This window comes from Homo sapiens, chromosome 5 (genome assembly GCF_000001405.40).
Source record: "Homo sapiens chromosome 5, GRCh38.p14 Primary Assembly".
Classification (NCBI taxonomy): domain Eukaryota; kingdom Metazoa; phylum Chordata; class Mammalia; order Primates; family Hominidae; genus Homo; species Homo sapiens.
This window is the reverse complement of record NC_000005.10, coordinates 176468143-176488190: the sequence shown is the minus strand read 5'-3', so window position 1 is coordinate 176488190 and position 20048 is coordinate 176468143. Positions and strand designations below refer to the sequence as shown.

At 42.8% G+C, this 20048-nt stretch overlaps 1 protein-coding gene across 2 annotated transcripts in view; it reads right to left on the bottom strand.

The window, feature by feature from the left end:
• The window catches only part of FAF2 (Fas associated factor family member 2), a 61690-nt gene that overhangs the window by 21884 nt on the left and 19758 nt on the right, over positions 1-20048 (bottom strand). The window contains exons 2-3 of one of the 2 annotated variants that reach the window (NM_014613.3): positions 8935-9003; positions 1702-1836 (exon numbers count right to left, since the gene is read on the bottom strand). In NM_014613.3, the coding sequence (NP_055428.1) occupies positions 1702-1836; positions 8935-9003 (204 nt within the window). The remainder of the gene's footprint in view (positions 1-1701; positions 1837-8934; positions 9004-20048) is intronic. The other variant, XM_011534475.4, reaches the window with a different exon arrangement.

Sequence of the window (20048 nt, the reverse complement as noted above, 5' to 3'; positions counted from 1 at the left end):
GCCTGGTCAACATGGTAAAACCCTGTCTCTACTAAAAATACAAAAATTAGCTGGGTGTGGTGGCTCACACTTGTACTCCCAGCAATTTGGGAAGCCAAGGCAGGCAGATCACTTGAGGTCAGGAGTTTGAGACCAGCCTGGCCAACATGGTGAAACCCTGTCTCTACTAAAAATACAAAAATTAGCCAGACGCGGTGGTGGGCGCCTGTAATCCCAGCTACTCAGGAGGCTGAGGCAGGAGAATCGCTTGAACCTGGGAAGCTGAGGTTGCAGTGAGCTGAGATCACACCACTGCACTCCAGCCTGGGCAACAGAGGGAGATTCTGTCCCAAAACAAAACAAACAAACATAAAAACCTAAAATAATGTATATAGAAATAGCAAGAAAGATAATCACTATTACTAACCTTGGACATTGGTATATAAACATTAAATAATTATATTAACCACAATGACAAATCCCCATATAGCTGCTTATCTTAGTAATAATGCTAATTATTATTGCTGTTATTAATTATTAAAACTAGCATACATCCAGGGCTCTATAGTTTATAAAGCATTTCATAGTTGTCACATTGTGTTAACCTGAGACACTTTCTGTGTCTGTGGCCAGGAAGCTCTGGAGCCCCATGGCTGACATGGGAATCTGCTACTGTACTTCAGAAAACCACAGAGCACTACTTAGAAACATGTTTTAAAACATCAAGTAGGCCAGGCACAGTGCCTCAAGCCTGTAATTCCAGCACTTTGGGAGGCTGAGGTGGGCAGATAACTTGAGCTCAGGAGTTCAAGACCAGCCTGGGCAACATAGCAAGACCCCATCTCTACAAAAAATACAAAAATTAACCAGGATGGTGGCGCACACCTGTAGTCCCAGCTACTTAGGAGGCTGAGGTGGAGGACTGCTTGAGCCCGGGAGGTCTAGGCTGCAGCGAGCCAAGATCATGCCACTGCACTCCAGGCTGGGCGACAGAGTGAGACCCTGTCTCAAACAGAACAAAACACAACAAAAATCAAGTACTCCACAAAAAGGCTTGATGATGGAGTAAATTCTAACTGCTGCAATGTTAAAGGGAGTGTTTTCTTAGGATTCTAAATGCAAGTATAAAAGTATAAGAGGTGAGTATAACCCCAGGGGTAAGAAAAAGAAAGTCCAAGCAGTTCTTTAGAATTCATTATCAGTGTACACATCTGACTTCCTTCAATAGACTGTGAGAAATTGAATTTGAAATGGGAAGACTGGCTCTTTATTCATGTCTGGATCCCTAGTAGCAAGATACCAGGTTATTGGAGTACTCTTAAATGTCTGTCAAATTTAAGTGAACCACCTCCTTGCTACTAGCCCTTCAAGGCTAATTTCAAAGACGTGGCCAAAGCTCCTACAAAGATTCCATATACTTCCTCAAAACTGGTTTAAGATTAAGTAAACTGAAGCAACAAAGAACTTGAGTAAACAAATTGTAACTTAAGAGGCAGAAAACACTCTCCAAATAACTGGCAAAGAAAAGAAAAAAAAAATGAGTAGTTTCTGTAACAATTCCTTGAGGAATCAAGGCAAAATAATACACCCAACGGGCCAAGTCTAACTAACAGGTTTACATTCTAAATATTTGTTTTGCTCCTGTCACAGGGAGATCAATATAACCAAGTGGATATACTTATAAATAAAAAAGGGGGAAATCCCAGCTATGAAATAACTTGCCCTTGGTTGAGGTCTTGAGACAACATAGCTGTAGATCCTGTGGTCAGCTGTATTAACCTGCAGGGGTCGTGATGGAGGTGGGTTGAAAACACTAGGTACGCCCTCTTGCTCATTCAATCTGTCCTGTACAGCAGCCTGAGAAGGAAAACGGAGTGGCAAGAGTTTCAGCGATGCTCAAATCAACCAACAACAAGAGGTGAGGCAACTATTGCGTGGTATTCCAAAACAGGATGGTCATGAATACACCAAAAGGTCACTGAGGAGTGCACCTTCATGGGCCTGTTAACCGGCTGTACTTGGAGGCAACTGGAGTTGTCACTCCAGAATGCATCCATGGTAGAGGAGACGAGGAAACTTGTCTGGAAGCTACATTTATGCAGCAAGCGTACTGCCTGGATTCAGATGGCATGTATTATTTAGGGTGGCTGGGATATAAAGTGCTTCACTGTACAATCCCAAGAAAAGCCATCCTCAGAGAATACAATGTAGGCAGTACCCCTGGAGTTATGCAGTGAAGCAGTCCTGATGAGTGGCATCTGATGAAGGGGCTTGCAGCAGAGAAACTTCGGTCTGATCCAAGCTCCATCTCTCTGAAAAGTTGCTCAATGTATGAGCCTCAGGTCAGGCGCGGTGGCTCAAACCTGTAATCCTAACACTTTGGGAGGCTGAGGTGAGAGGATTGCTTGAGCCCAGAGACCAGAAATTCGAGACCAGCCAGGGCAATGAAACGAGACCCTGTCTCTAAAAATAAAAAATAAAGAAGAAAAAAACATATGAGCCTCAGTTTCCTCATGTGCAAAATAAAGGAACAATATTTCTGAGTTAATCTGAAAATTTAATGAGTTGGCCACACATAAAGATCCTAATACAACTCCTGTCAGACTACTGATATTCAGTTTAAAAAATTCATTCCCTCCTTAACTCTGTCCTTGAAATAGATATTTGTCTCAATGTAGTAAAAAAAAGTTGACCTTACCCAAAGAGATGTCTGATCTTTCCCTTTTGGGAGGTAATCTATGTCAGACCTGATAAGCATGTCTTTGTTACTAGATTTTAGGTTGCAGCTGCAACACCCAGTAGTCTTAGGGTGAAAGCCGGCCATGCCAGAAAGACCAACCATGTGGTTTAGGGTGGGGAACTTTGGACAACTTGGTATCAGTTGACTTGAAGACTGAGTTCAACCATGTGGGCAGCCAAACAAATCAATCGTGCCTATGTAATGATGCCCTAATAAATTCTCTGGAAGCACTGAAGCTTCCCTGGTTGGCAATACAGTAGTCCCTTCTTATCCACAGGGATATGTTCCAAGACCTCTAGTAGATTCCTGAAACCATGTATAGTACCGAACTTGAATGCTGTCATTGGAAGCTATTTCTCTTCATGTCTTCCACTCAAAAAATGCCTTTTCCATCTTAACTATGCACTTATCATGCACTGTGGCTGCAATTTTTGCAGAAGTGTGACCATAAAACTACTATGAATTTCTTTTTCTTTCTTCACAATTTCACAAACACAAGCTAGATCTTAGCAACTTCAGCATATAATTTTTTTATTTCCTCATTAAGTCAGGAACTTTAACCTTTTTTTTTTTTTTTCTTGAGATGGAGTCTTATTCTGTTGCCCAGGCTGGAGTGCAGTGGCATGATCTCAGCTCACTGCAACCTCCGCGCCCCCAGGTTCAAGCGATTCTCCTGCCTCAGCCTCCCGAGTAGCTGGGATTACAGGCTCCTGCCACTGTGCCCAGCTAATTTTTGTATTTTTAGTAGAGACGGGGTTTCACCATCTTGGCCAGGCTGGTCTTGAACTCCTCACCTCATGATCTACCTGCCTCGGCCTCCCAAAGTGCTGGGATTACAGGCATGAGCCACTGCTGGCCAGGAACTTTAACCTTTTCACTTAAAGGACACATTTCCTGGCTTCTCTCTAGCATAGCTGAGTTGCCAGCATCACTACTCCTGTGCTTTGGGGCCAATATTAAGTAAAATAGGGGAACCTGAACAAAAGTACTGTAATGGCACAACAGTTGATCTGATAACGGCTACTAACTGACTAACAGGTGGGTCTTGTATACAGTATGGAGACGCTGGACAAATGGATAATTCACGTTCCGGGTAAGGTAGAATGGGACAGAGTGAGATTTCATCATGTTTCTCAGAACAGCATGCATTTTAAAACTTATGAATTGTTTATTTCTGGAATCTTCCACTTAATATTTTCAAACCACAGTTGCCTACTAGTAACTGAAACCACAGAATGTGAAACTGTGGGTGGAGGGGGCTACTATACTTCATGCATATTGTTATACATCTATGCCAAGAAGGTAATGTGTCCCGACTCTGCAGGAGCGTAGTATGCAAGCTTCATGTCCAAAATCCTTTTAGACTCTGCCCCCTTTTTTTCTTTTTTTTTCTTTTTTTGAGACGGAGTCTAGCTCTGTCACCAGGCTGGAGTGCAGTGGTACAATCTCGGCTCACTGCAACTTCCCCCTCCCAGGTTCAAGCAATTCTCCCACCTCATCCTCCAAGTAACTGGGATTACAGGCACGCACCGCCACACACAGCTAATTTTTGTATTTTTAGTAGCGATGGGGTTTCACGATGTTGGCCAGAATGGTCTTAAATTCCCGACCTCGTGATCCACCCACCTTGGCCTCCGAAAGGGCTGGGATTACAGGCGTGAGCCACCACACCCGGCCAACTCTGCCCTATTTGTCTCTTCCTTTAGCTGCTTTTAATCTATATGTTCCCTATAATAAACTATAACCATGACTATAACAACTTTCAGTGAGTTCTAGTGAATTAGCAAATCTGAAGACGGTTTTGCGACACTCTGAAACTGCAGGTGGTTTCAGAAGTGAAGGTGGTCTTTAGGAGGGCAGTGTGCCCTCTGAACTCAATTACTAGCTTCAAACTTTGAAATTTGGCTAATATCAGGTAGTCCCCTAGTTTTACAATTCAACGAGGAAAGAATAATCTTTCAACAAATGATGCTGGGATAATTGGATATCCACATGCAAAAGAAAGTGGATTAACCCCTAGATCACACTATACATAAAAATTAACTACAAATACATCAAATACATCAAAAACCTAAATGTAAAAGCTGAAATTATAAAACTCTTAAAACAAGGGTATAAATCTTCCCAACCTCAGATTAAGCAAAAGTATCTTAGATACGACAACAAAAGCACACGCGACAAAAGAAAAAAGTAGATAAATTGGACTTCATCAAAACGAAAAACTTTTCTGCATCAAATTACACTATCATGAATGCGGCAAGATAGCATGTACCTGTAGTCTGAGGTGTCAGGGAGGCTGAGGCAGGAAGGCTTCTTGAGCCCAGGACTTCAAGGTTACAGTGAGCTATGATCAGGCCACTGCACTCCAGCCTGGGCAACAAACCAAGACTCCATCTCTCAAAAAAAATAAAATAAATAAAAATAAATAAAAAAAAGAAAACAGGCCGGGCACAGTGGCTCACACCTGTAATCCCAGCACTTTGGGAGGCCGAGGCGGGCGGATCACAAGGTCAAGAGACCAAGACCATCCTGGCCAACACTACTAAAAATACAAACAACAACAACAACAACAACAAAACCACAAACCACTATCAAGAGAGTAAAAAGATAACTCGCAGAAAGGGAGAAAACATTTGCAAATTAAATATCAGATAAGCACCAGGCATGGTGGCTCACGTCTGGAATCCCAACACTTTGGGAAGACAAGCTGGGAGAATCACTGGAGCCCAGGAGTTTAAGACCAGCCTGGTCAATACAGCGAGACCCCATCTGTACAAAAAATAAAAAAATAAAATATTAGCTGGATGTGGTGGTGTGTGCTTGTAGTCCTAGCTACTCAGGAGGCTGAAGTGAAAGGATCACTTGAGTCTGGGAGGTCAAGGCTGCAGTTAGCCATAATAGTACCACTGTACTCCAGCCTGGGCAACAGAGAGAAATCCTGTCTCAAAAAAACATAAACTGGCCAGACGCAGTGCTTACGCCTGTAATTCCAGGAATTTGGGAGGCCAAGGCGGGTGGATCACTTGAGGCCAGGAGTTCAACACCAGCCTGGCCAACATGGAGAAACCTCGCCTCTACTAAAAATACAAAAATTAGCCGGGCATGGGACACCTGTAGTCCCAGCTACTCAGGAGGCTGAGGCAGGAAAATTATTTGAACCTGGGACGTGGAGGTTGCAGTGAGCCGTGATCACGCCTCTGCACTCTAGCCTGTGCCACAGAGTGAAACTTCATCTCAAAAAAAAAAAAAAACTTTCACAGCTCAACATGAAAAAGATAACCAAATTTAAGAACTGGCAAAGGACTTGAATAGACATTTTTGCAAAGAAGATATGCAAATGTTCAATAAGAATATGAAAAAATATTCAACATCATTTTAGCCACTAGGGAAATGCAAATCAAAACCACCCTAGATCACTAGGGTGAGTATGATCTAGAAGACAAATATTAACAAGTGTTGGTGAGGGTGTGGAGAAATTCAGACCTTCCTACAACGCTGTTGGGAATTTAAAATGGTATAACCACTTTGAAAACAGTCTGGGAGCTCTTCAAAAGGTTAAACATAGTGTCACCATATGACTCAGCAAAGTCCATTCCTAGGTATAGACCCAAAGGAAATGAAAACACATATTCACACAAGAGCTTGAACGCTAGGGCCCGGTGTGGTAGCGTGGGCCTGTAGTCCCATCTACTTGAAGCTGAGGTCAGAGGAATGCTTGAGCCCAGGAGTTCAACTGCAGTGAGCTATGATCAAACCTGCACTCCAGCTTGGGTGACACAGTAAGACCCTGTCTCTCTCTCTCCCTTTTTTTTTTTGAGACAGAGTCTCACTCTGTCCCCCAGGCTGGAGTGCAGTGGCATGTTCTCAGCTCACTGCAAGCTCTGCCTCCCGAGTTCACGTCATTCTCCTGCCTCAGCCTCCCGAGTAGCTGGGACTACAGGCGCCCACCACCACACCTGGCTAATTTTTTATATTTTTAGTAGAGACAGGGTTTCATTGTGTTAGCCAGGATGATCTCGTTCTCCTGACCTCGTGATCTGCCTGCCTTGGCCTCCCAAAGTGCTGGGATTACAGGCGTGAGCCACCGCGCCCGGCCCAACCCTGTCTCTTAGAAAGAAAAAAACAAGGCCAGGTGTGGTGGCTCATGCCTGTAATCCTAGCACCTTGGGAGGCGGAGGTGGGTGGATCACAAGGTCAGGAGATCAAGACCAGCCTGGCCAATATGGTGAAACCTCGTCTCTACTAAAAATACAAAAAATTAGCCGGGCGTGGTGGTGCACACCTATAATCCCAGCTACTCAGGAGACTGAGGCAGGAGAATTGCTTGAACCCGGGAGGCGGAGGTTGCAGTGAGCCAAGATCACACCACTGCACTCCAGCCTGGGCAACAAGAGCAAAACTCCATCTCAAAAAAATAAAAATAAATAAAGATAAAAAAACAAAAAGCAAAACTCTCCAGATCCTCTGTTCCATTTCCTATGCTCATCTCATTTGTCATTTATTTATTTTTTTAAATTATACTTTAAGTTCTGGGATACATGTACGGAATGTGCAGGTTTGTTACATAGGTATACACATGCCATGGTGGTTTGCTGCACCCATCAACCCGTCATCTACATTAGGTATTTCTCCTAATGCTATCCCTCCCCTAGCCCCCCAGCCCCCCACCCCCCGAGAGGCCCCGTGTGTGATGTTCCCCTCCGGTCATTTATTACAAACTGAAATTCTCTAGAATTAAGTTCCATAAGAGTAGGGACTTGGCTGGATGTGGTGGCTCACACATGTAATCCCAGTACTTTGGGAAGCTGAGGCAGGAGGATTGCTTGAGCCCAGGAATTCAAGACCAGCTTGGGCAACACAGCAAGACCTCGTCTCCACAAAAAAATTAAAAATCAGCTGGGCATGGTGTTACATGTTTGTAGTCCCAGCTATTTGGGAGGCTAGGGCAGGAAAATTGCTTGAGCCCAGAAGTCAAAGGCTGTAGTGAGGTATGCTTGTGCCAATGCATTCCAGCCCAGGTGACAGAGCAAGACCCCGTCTTAAAAAAATTAAAAAAGAGTAAGGACTTACTTTTGTTCACTAATATAATGCCAGAGCCTAGAGTTTAATTGCTCAAAAATGTGTTGAATAACGAAATCATATTAGGAATACATTTTATTAAAAAAAAAAACTGGAAAAAAAAAGGGAACACGTTTTTAGGAATCCAGCACCCTTTTAAAATAGCATATAATAATTAAAACAGTAATTTGGGATCAAGAGGGTGTTTTGACAAAATTCAACATCCACTCAGTATAAACTATTAATATACTAAGAATGGAAGGGAAAAACCAACAGATATTTATTTCCATGTTATATGCTGGGAATACAGCAGTTAAAACAAAACAAAAAAATCTCTGCTCTTAGGGAGCTTACATCCTTGGAGATCTATCTCAAAGTAACAACTAACATCACACTTGCTAATAAAAAATCAGAGGCATGGCCGGGCGCGGTGGCTCACGCCTGTAATCCCAGCACTTTGGAAGGCTGAGCGGGGCGGATCATCTGAGGTCAGGAGTTCAAGACCAGCCTAGGCAACATGGTGAAACCCCGTCTCTACTAAAAATACAAATTAGCCGGGTGCAGTGGTGTCTGCCTGTAATCCCAGCTACTCAGGGGGCTGAGGTAGGAGAATCGCTTGAACTTGGGAGGCAGAGGTTGCAGTGAGCTGAGAGCACGCCACTGCACTCTAGCCTGGGAGACGGAGCGAGACTTTGTCTCAAAAAAAAAAAATCAGAGGCATTATAGTGAGGACAAAATGCTATTACCATTATCAACTGACAGTGTTTTAAAGTTCTTGCTAATTCAATGGTCAAGGAGAAGAGTTGCAGAGAACATGACTACCTAGACAACCCCAAAGAATAAACTATAAAATATGTAAGAAGAAGGTTCACATCAAGACATCTGGTTAAAAACTAAATATACAAAAACCAATTGTTTTCCCAACAAGATACTAACAAACAGTAGGGGGTGGGGCACTATATTGAGGGATTTAGTCACAAATTTTTCTATGATTTTATAAACTTTCTCACATTCTTTACCTTCCTGCACTTTTATTTTTAGAGTCATAATTCTGAAAAAAATCTACTGAAAAGATTCCTGCTATGGAAAAACATACGGTTTTGACTCTTAATCAGACCAGAGAAAAAGAAATAAGCTCAGAACACATCCTATTATACCTCTATGTTCCAGTTATGCTGTTCCAAGGTATGGCGACACTGATCCATAGATTCGATGCCAGTGAGATCCTGAAAAGAAGGATGAAAACAAGTTACTTAGAGAAAAACCAACAGTATACGTGTGAGTATTTTTACGCCATATACTGCTAGGAAAATACACTAAAAAATGTTAAAAGTGAGTGTTAAAGTATGGTAAAACTTCACCGATTCAGAATTTATACAGTCAGCTGACTGTTCTAGATGCGTAAAGAACTAAAAAAATGATAATTCCTTTTAAAACTTCAAGGCTTTCAATTAAGAGGAGTACTGACTAAGATCAATATTCTCCTCTCAAATTCAAGTTTAAAAAATTAAAGATTTTTCAACCTGTGGGCTAAGCAAAATATTATTTAATGCTAAACAGCTATTCTGTTGATAGTACAGGTTGAGCATCCCAAATCTGAAACCTAAAATGCTCCAACATTTTTTGAAACATTTTGAGTGCTGACATGTCTCAAAGGAAATGCATAGTGGAACATTTCAGATTTGAGATGCTCATTCAGTAAAACGTAAATATTCCAAATTCTCAAAACAATCCAAATCTGAAACACTTGTGGTTCCAAGCATTTTAGATAAGGAATACTCAACCTCTACATAATGATGTAATGCACCTTTCCTGTAAAACGTCATGCCTTTCATTAACTTATTTCATTTTATATACTGGTATTAACCTAGTTTATAATATGAACTGTGTAAAACCTAACATACCGACCCCCCTACCCCCCGCCACTTTTTTTTCGAGACAGGGTCTTGCTCTGTCATCCAGTTTGGAGTGCAATAGCGCAATGACTGCTCACTGCAGTCTCAACTTCCCAGACTGAAGCGATCCTCCCGCCTCAGCCTCCTGAGTAGCTGGCACTGCAGGTGTGCACCACCACACCCAGCTAAATTTTGGATGTTTTTTGTAAAGACGGGATCTCTCTATATTCCCCAGGCTGGTCTCCAACTCCTGGGCTCAAGCAATCCTCTTGCCTTGGCCTCCCAAAGTGCTGGGATTATAGGTGTGAGCCACTGCAGTTACAGTATTTTCTCACTATTTCCGTTCAGATGTCCAATATTCAGCAAATCTAACAGTTCATGTATACATCTCATGCCCAGAATTTCCACAGAGCTAAACTCTAGCATTCCTTCAAAGTCTAATATAAAAGCCAAAACCATCCATCTAATCCATCCATCCTTTCATTTGACAAATGTGTGCTACATGCCTATTCTGTACAGCACTAACTTACTATGTTGGAGGGACAGAAAATGAATAAGATGTAGTCTCTATCCTCAAGAAACTCCTCTAAACAACCAGTAAGCTTCAGGGCAAAGAGACTGATCTCAACCTGACAAGAATGTAGTAGTATGGACTGATGAGTCTGAAAACTGAAGTTCTTGCCTAATTCTGCACCCCATGGCCACGGACAGGCACATTTTAACTCTGAATTTAGTTTCCTTTATGTGCAATGTGAAGGGTTTAATGTGGAATGCATTTCTTTTCCAGAGCTTAAAAAAATGAAACAAAATTCAAAAACTGAAATTCGGATTTTTAGGTATACAAGTTTTCATTTTTTATAATTACACATGTAGTACAAAAACTTGCAATAAAAAATGTTAATGTTTAAAATGCTGAAATAGAAAAGTTCCTTTAAGAACCACTGGCTTTGACAGTTCTGAGTCTGGATTTTAGGTCCTGACCATTACAGGACTCTTCACATTTGCCTATTCCCTTCTGGCTTCTAATAGGACCCCCTTAACTTTCAGTGTCCTACATTACAACCCACTAAAGGACTGGGATGTCCAGGGTTCCTCCTTCTCGCTGTGGATTCTCTTTAAGAATTGGACTCTAGGCCAGGCATGGTGGCTCACGCCTGTAATCCCAGCACTTTGGGAGGCTGAGGTGGGCGGATCACATGAGGTCAGGAGTTAGAGACCAGCCTGGCCAACATGGTTAAAACCCCACCTCTACTTAAAAAAAAAAAAAAAAAAAAGGCCGGGCACGGTGGCTCATGCCTGTAATCTCAGCACTTTGGGAGGCCGAGGCGGTCAGATCATGAGGTCAGGAGATCCAGACCATCCTGGCTAACACAGTGAAACCCCGCCTCAACTTAAAAAAAAAAAAAAAAAAGGCCGGGCACGGTGGCTCACGCCTGTAATCTCAGCACTTTGGGAGGCCGAGGCGGGCGGATCACGAAGTCAGGAGATCGAGACCATCCTGGCTAACATGGTGAAACCCCGTCTCACTAAAAATACAAAAAATTAGCCGGGCATGGTGGTGGGCGCCTGTAGTCCCAGCTACTCAGGAGGCTGAGGCAGGAGAATGGCGTGAACAAGGGAGGTGGAGCTTGCAGTGAGCTGAGATAGCGCCACTGCACTCCAGCCTGGGTGACAGAGGAAGACTCCATCTCAAAAAAAAAAAAAAAAAAAAAAATTAGTTCAGCATGGTGGTGCTGCGTGCCTGTAGTCCCAGATACTCTCGGGAGGCTGTGGTGGGGGAATCGCTTGAACCCAGGAGGCAGAGGTTGTGGTGAGCCGAGATCATGCCAATGCCCTCCAGCCTAGGTGACAGAGCGAGACTCCATCTCAAAAAAAAAAAAAAAAAAAAAAAGGGACTCTAATCTTACCATCTTCCCCAGTGTGCAAATGACTGCTCCCTCCTCTAAATACCAAAATTGTTTTCTACGTCTCTTATGTGCCTATTGTTTCCTATCTTATGATTATTTACATTCATTCTATTGCCTTCTCAGAGGGTGTAATGTAAGTTCTCTGAGAGCAGGGAACAATTCACTGTAATATTCACTAGTACCAGGCACACACTATGGGCTTAAATCGTAGAAGAATCAGTCCAAGTTAAAAGGACCTTTTTGTATAAGCTTCAGTCATCATAGCTATAAGCTGAAATCCTCTAGATATTATCACAAAATCTCACTTTACATTAATACACTGTTTTTTTTGTTTTGCTTTGTTTTTTTAAGACAGGTTCTGTCTGGCTCTGTTGTCCAGGCTGGAGTGCAGTGGAACGATCTTGGCTCACTTGCAACCTCTGTCTCCCGCTCTCAAATGATCCTCCCATCTCAGCCTCCGAGCAGCTGGAACCACAGGTGTGCGCCACCACACTTGGCTAATTTTTCTATTTTTCTTGGGTAGAGACAGGATTTCACCATGTTGCCCAGGCTGGCCTTGAACTCCTGGGCTCAAGCGATCCTCCCGCCTTGGCCTCCCAATGTGTTGGGATTATACACGTGAGCCACCATACCTGGTTACTGGGGTTTTTTAACTTCAAATGTTCTGACTAGATGCCAAGCTGGTTGTTAAAACATTACAAATTTGTAGAATTTTCCTGAAAATCAGTAAGTCAGGAAAGAGCTCAGGAAGCAGTGTTTGTTCTTAAAGCTCCTCAGCTGATTCTAATGTACAGCCGAGCTGGGAAATCCGTGGTATTGATAGTAATTCTTTTTTTTTTTTTTTAGACGAAGTCTCGCTCTTGTCCCCCAGGCTGGCGTGCAATGGCACGGTCTCGGCTCACTGCAACCTGCGCCTCCTGGGTTCAAGTGATTCTCCTGCCTTGGCTCCCCAAGTAGCTGGGATTACAGGTGGCTGCCACCACGCCTGGCTAGTTTTTGTATTTTTAGTAGGGACGAGGTTTCACCAGGCTGGTCTCGAACTCCTCACCTCAGGTGATCCACCCGCCTCGGCCTCCCAAAGTGTTGGGATTACAGGCGTGAGCCACCGTGCCCGGCTGGTATTGATATGTAATTCTAAGTAGGAATAGAGATTATAAATCCCTCACTAAAGTAACTTTTAGGCTACGCACAGTGGCTCACACCTGCAATCCTAGCACTGTGGGAAGCCAAGGTGGGTGGATCACTTCAGCCCAGGAGTTAAGACCAGCCTGGCCAATATAGAGAAACTCCATCTCTATAAAAAATACAAAAAAAATTAGCCGGGTGTGGTGGTGCGCCTGTAGTCCCAGCTACTCAAGAAGGATCATCTATTCAGGATCACCTGAGCCTGAGGAGGTCAAGACTGCAGTAAACTGCGCCACTGCACTCCAACTTGGGCAACAGAGAGACCTCATCTCAATAATAATAATAATAACCTTAAATAAATGGTTATAAACATTGCAGGAGAGAACAGAGTGACTGCCATCTTTAATATACTGAAACACTTAACCTAATTTATAACCAAAACACTTTTTAAGTAGTGAAGCAGGGTGAGCTGGAAACCCAACTGAACAAGCCTGCTTTCAATTACTACTGATCAGTACTAAAACTATGCCCTAGAAATAAGTGATGCTGGACACACCTGGGACAGGATTATTCATTCATATATCAACATACATTCACTATATATCCAGGATACAGATACAGTCCCTGCCCTGTTTAAATTTTCATCCTAGTAAATGGAGACTGGTCAAAACAAACCACACATACTGAAGAAAATACACTAACAAAATTTTCATTTTGTTCTAGAAGATTCCTTTAGATTGGGTGCTCAAGGAAAGCTTCCTCAAGGAGATAATATTTGAGCAGAGATCTGAATGAAAGATAAGGGGCCAGTCATGGGGAAATATCTGGGAAGAGTATTCCAGGCAGAAGGCCAACATATGCAAAAACTGTGAGACAGATAAAAACCCACAGACCTTTACAGCAGAGTGAACCTTAATGTATGTAAATTTAAAAAATCATTTAAGAGATCAGAGGCTCTCCGGATGGAACACAGACTTTGACAAAAGAATCTAATTGTCTAGAAAATATGTGAAACAACCTCACCAAAGGGGGAAGGGGGGTGCTAAGAAACTTTGGAAATGAAGTCTATAAGACTAAAGGCAACAGGAACTACACTTAAGCACTGTTCTCTACTTGATAAGGTTTTTCTCCATGGGAATACGTATTCTGAAGCCACTATATCTGCATATGTATCCCAGATTTGAACAATTAAGTAAAAAGATGGTGAATGATGAAAGCCAGTTTTCTGTCTGTAGAAGTGAGAGGTGACAGATAACCAAAGGAAGAAGGCTAGAATGGATAGAGTGGTAATGGATAGAATTGGAAACATCAACTCATGTTTAGCTTAATATAGATACAGATGACTGCATACAGAAAAACTTAGTTTAGTATACATACATGTACATCCCTTGCTCAGTCAGCTGAAAGGTCCTACAAGCCACAACATCCCAGTAGCAAGCACACCCAATGCCTAGAACTTGGTTTCTAATACCATTCTCTAATAAAAAGAATCAGGGCTCCTTGGAGAAGTGGCTGATTCTAGGACTGGGGCCGGAAATATATAAGATGTGCCTAGAGAATCTTGTGGTCAAAAGGATAAAGGAGGCTGGGAGTGGTGGCTCATGCCTGTAATCCTAACACTTTGGGAAGCCAAGGTGGGAGGACTGCTTGAGGCCAGGAGTTCAATACTAGCCTGGGCAACACAGCAAGATCTCATCTCTACCAAGAAAAACAAAGGATAGAGGAGTCAACTGAAAAAGATCCCAGTGACTAAAGCTCGAACAATTTTAGCAATAAAATAAATACGCATGATATAAATACATGGCTGAATAAATAAACTGGGGAGAATAGAAAAATATCCTGTGCAGAAGAATTCCAAGTAACTTATATAGATATTTTACCTTTACCTTCAAGGAAGTAGAACATAACTTTTCATTCCTTCCCAGGATGGGCTAGGCATGATGACTTCCTTCCAAAGAGTACAGAACGGAAACAGGGCAGGGGGATTAACAGTGGAGAAACCTGACCAACGCTACTGCAGCTAGGTGATCAAGGCCAAAACATCGACAGTGATAAAGCATGCTGAGAGCACCTTTGATTTGATGTAGTGAAAATCGTGCTTTACCTCTGTAATCTTCCTGCCAAAAACCCATAATCCCAGCCCCAATTATGAGAGAAACATTAGGCAAATATCAATTGAGAAATATTCTACAAAATACCTGACTGGTACTCCTGAAAACTGTCAAGGTCACCAAAAACAATAAAAGCTCAAGAAACTGTCACAGCCCAGAGGAACCTAAGATGTGACTACTAAATGGCATGTAGTACCCTAAATGGGATCCTGGAACACAAAAAGAGTATCAGGTAAAAACTAAGAGAATCAGAATAAAGAAAGGACTTTTGTTAATAATAGTGTATCAATATTGGTTCATCAATTTTGACAAGTGTACCATACTAATAATGCAAGGTGTTAATAAGAAACATTCAGCATGAGATTTTTAGGAATTTTCTATATTATCTTCACAATTTCCTGTTAATCTAAATCTCTCCTAATGACAAGTTTATTTAAAAAGTAAAACAAAACTTGAAGGAGGGAGGAAACAAGAAGGGAGGAAACATTGGAGACAGAACCAGCTTGGCAAGTTGACAGATAAGGTCTGAGAAGTAGGCAGGGGAAAGATCATTCATTTCAGGCAATATTTTTCCATTTTACCTGTATAAGAACCATATGAGCCCTATTTTTCTTTCTTTCTTTTTTCTTTCTTTCTTTTCTTTTTTTTTTTTTTTTGTAGAGATGAAGATTTCACTATGTTGAACAGGCTGGTCTCAAACTCCTGGCCTCAAGCAATCCTCCCACCTCAGCCTCCCAAAGCATGAGCCACCATGGTGGGCCTGTATGAAGGAACTTTTTAAAAAATGCTACAAGCCGGGTGCAGTGGCTCATTACCTGTAATCCCAGCATTCTGGGAGGCCAAGGTAAGAGGATCACTTGGGCCCAGAAGTTCAAGACCATCCTGAACAACATAGCAAGACCCTGTTCTCTGCTTAAAAAAAACAAAAACAAGCTGGGCGTGGTGGATCACGCCTGTAATCCCAGCACTTTGGGAGGCTGAGGTGGGCAGATCATGAGGTCAGGAGTTCGAGACCAGACTGACCAACATGGTGAAACCCCATCTCTACTAAAAATACAAAAATTAGCTGGGCACGGTGGTGTGCGCCTGTGATCCCAGCTACTCAGGAGGCTGAGGCAGGAGAATCGCTTGAACCCGGGAGACGGAGGTTGCAGTGAGCTGAGAAAGCAGTGAGCTGAGATAGCACCACTGTGCTCTAGCCTGGGAGACGGAGTGAGACTCTGTTTCAAAAAAATAAAAAAAAAAACTCAAAACAAATTAAAACCCTACAGATGTCTGGACCCTCCAATCCAAACAATTTAACCAGATTCTCTGAAGGTAGTGCCTAGGAAAAGGTCATGTTTATTTCCTATAGGGAAAGGGAACTTAACACAGGTGATGAGAATGTACAGATAGGGGCTGGGCATGGTGGCTCACACCTGTAATCCCAGCACTTTGGGAGACCGAGGGGGGCGAATCACGAGGTTAGGAATTTGTGACCAGCCTGGTGAAACCCCGTCTCTACTAAAAATACAAAAAATTAGCTGGGCATAGTGGCGGGTGCCTGTAATCCCAGCTACTGGGGAAGCTGAGGCAGGAAAACTGCTTGAACCCGGGGGGCGGAGGTGGTTGCGGTGAGCCAAGATCGCACCACTGCACTCCAGCCCAGGTGACAGACAGAGTGAGACTCCATCTCAAAAAAAAAAAAAAAAGAGGCCGGGCGTGGTGGCTCATGCCTGTAATCCCAGCACTTTGGGAGGCCGAGGTGGGCAGATCACCTGAGGTCAGGAGTTCGAGACCAGCCTGGCCAACATGGTGAAACCCCGTCTCTACTAAAAATACAAAAATTAGCCAGGCATGGTGGTGGGCACCTGTAATCCCAGCTACTCAGGAGGCTGAGGCAGGAGAATCACTTGAACCCGGGAGGCAGAGTTTGCAGTGAGCTGAGATCGTACCACTGCACTCCAGCCTGGGCAACAAGAGCAAAACTCTGTCTCAAAAAAAAAAAAAAAAAAAAAAAAGAATGTACAGAGAGGGATGAGAATCACTAACCCAGACCCTTCATTCTAAATTTAGTGCCAGTGACATGTGACATGATCATATGCACATTTTAAAGTAAGTCATTCCTGTTTGCATATGAAGTAATTGTAGAAGGCATGAAAGACAGCAAGACACCAGCAAGATTATATAGATGAAGTCCAGGGAAAAGAGAATGATGGCATAGAATAGAATGACAGCAGTGAAACAGAAAATGGACATATTTGGGGTTTATTTTAGAGGTAGGGCCAAAAGGATCAGGTGATAGATTAAACATGTGGGGGTGGAAGAGAAATATTAAGGTGTACTCATAGGCTTAAGCAAATGGAATTATGGTGTTATTTACAAAGAACGAGGTAAGCTATTTGCCTTTGTGAGAAATTTTTATGTATGGTAAAGTAAATCTATCTAAAAAGAACAAGAGATATATAATCCCTCATTGCTAAATTTGAGTGGCTTTAAAAAAGTAAAAAGAATGGGAAAAAGTGGAAATAGACTGCCAGATGAAGGTAAAAACACTATTTCATCACATTAAATGCATTGTGTGAGAACTACCTGACCTCACTGCTAGTCAGCAGGATCGTTTTCCAGTGATCTCTTAAAAAAGCCAAAGTAAGCTAGTGTGCTGAACTCATTTGGCATTCACTGTCTGTAAACAGTTGCATTCATAACTCAGACAGGGTTGGTTACCTGGGTTTTCTATCAGTTTTTGTGTGTGTGTGAGTGTGTTTTTAAACCTAGTATAAGTTAGGTAAAGTTTATTTATTCATTTATATGTTTGGAGACAGAGTTTCGCTCTTTGTTGCCCAGGCTGGAGCGCGATGGCGCGATCTTGGCTCACCACAACCTCCACCTCCCGGGTTCAAGTGATTCTCCTGCCTCAGCCTCCCGCGTAGCTGGCATTACAGGCATGCGCCACCACGCCCCGCTAATTTTGCATTTTTAGTGCACACCGGGTTTCTCCATGTTGGTCAGGCTGGTCTCGAACTCCCGACCTCAGGTGATCCGCCCGCCTCGGCCTCCCAAAGTGCTGGGATTATAGGCGTGAGTCACCGCACCCGGCTGGTAAAGTTTAAATATTAGAGAAAGATTAGAAATGGGGTAGCGTGAGAGGCTACCCTGTGGTGGTTCCAACCATTAGTAATACAACTGGTTTACATTTACAAATTTCCTTCTAGTTCCCCACACTCCAAGGAAAGGTTTAGGGCTTGATTCAACCTCTTTTACAATTAAATAAAATTATTATAGGGGAAACTGTCTAATGGTCTTTTCTTCTCCATTCTAGACTGTATGCATGCTGAGGAAAATCCATTCATCTCTGCCTTTGATCTTTACAGGAATCTTCTGGTGTTTTCTCTCCTGGCTGGAAAACCAACTTTTCCACCCCACCCTCTCACATCACTACATACAAGTCAAGGTTTGAGGAGCCTTCTCTATTTTCTCTTACCTGTGTGAGACTCCTCTCTTTCAGATATTTATAATTTTGCACATTATTTTACGAAATACTCCCTTCAAACTCTTCATAAACTTAATACACTCTTCATAACCATGGTTATACAATACTCTAACTGGCTACAACAATTTACATATAGATGTTACGGCTGCTTCCAATTTTCACTATTAAAATAGCACTATGATGAACACTACTATTTATAAAGTTTGCCTCTATTTAGGATTTCTTCTGGATCTAGGTAAAACTTGGAGCCAAAGAATATACATTATTTTTAAAGTTCTTGACCCACAGTGCCAAAATGCATTTCGAAAGGACTATTCCAATTTACACTGGAAGGGCTGGATTCAACATAAGTCAAATGCTAAGTATGTCTCAAGCCAATATTCATTGCCATTTCAGTGCCAACCTAAGTTTTGCAATGCCAGCTTTGTTCAGAGAGAAAGAATATTGCAGTTTTGGCTGGAGACATTCCATTAGCTTTGCTACCAATTCTCTGCTCAGCAATAAAATAATGTTTGGCTATCAGCATTTCTGGAAGAGAGGTAAAACAGAGAAGCAGAGGAATGTTAGACTTAACATCAGTCACAGGCTTCAACTTCCTACTAATTTCTTCAGAACTCCAATTATAATTCTTTTTCTACAATTTTTTATTTTTATTTTTAGAGATGGAGTCTCGCTCTGTCGCCCAGGCTGGAGTACAATGGTGTGATCTCGGCCCACTGCAACCTCTGCCTCCTGGGTTCAAGTGATTCTCCTACCTCAGCCTCCCGAGTAGCTGGGATTACAGGCACATGCTACCACGCCCAGCTAATTTTTGTATTTTTAGTACCGACAGGGTTTCACCATGTTGGCCAGGCTGGTCTCGAACTCCTGACCTCAGGTGATGCATCCACCTTGGCATCCCAAAGTGCTGGGACTATAGGTATGAGGCACCACGCCCAGCCTAAAATTTTTTATATTTTTTACAGACAGGGTCTCTCTGTCACTCACTCTGGAGTACAGTAGCATGATCATAGCTCACTGTAACCATCTGCTCCTGGGCTCAAGTACTCCTTCTGCCTCAGCCTCCCAAGTAGCTAGGACTACAGGCACGTACCACCATACCCACCTTTTTTTTTTTTGTTTTTTTGGGGGCTAGATTGGTGGGGTCCCACTATGTTGCTCAGCCTGGTCTTGAACCTCCTTGCCTCAGGTGATCCTCCCACTTCAGCCTCCCAAAGTGGTGAGATTACAGGTGTGAACCAATGTGCCCAGCTCCATAATTCACTTTTAAAAGGAACTTTCTTTTGAGGAGGGAATCTATTTACTTCTATTTTTCTTTTTGAGACGGAGTCTTGCTCTGTCGCCCAGGTTGGGATGCAGTGGCGTGATCTCGGCTCACTGCAAGCTGCGCCTCCCGGGTTCACACCATTCTCCTGCCTCAGCCTCCCGAGCAGCTGGGACTGCAGGCGCCCACGACCACGCCCGCCTAATTTTTTGTATTTTTAGTAGAGACGGGGTTTCACCGTGTTAGCCAGGATGGTCTTGATCTCCTGGCCTAGTGATCCACCTGCCTCGGCCTCCCAAAGTGCTGGGATTATAGGCATGAGCCACTGCGCCCAGCCTCTATTTACTTCTATACTCCCAAGACCCAGTGCAATGCCTTGGCATAAAATAGGAAATGTCTGAATAAATGAATGAATCCTTCCTCAGTCTAACAATCAACTTTTGTTTATATCTCTCTAGTTTCTTTTCTTTTCTTGAGACAGATTCTCACTCTTGTCG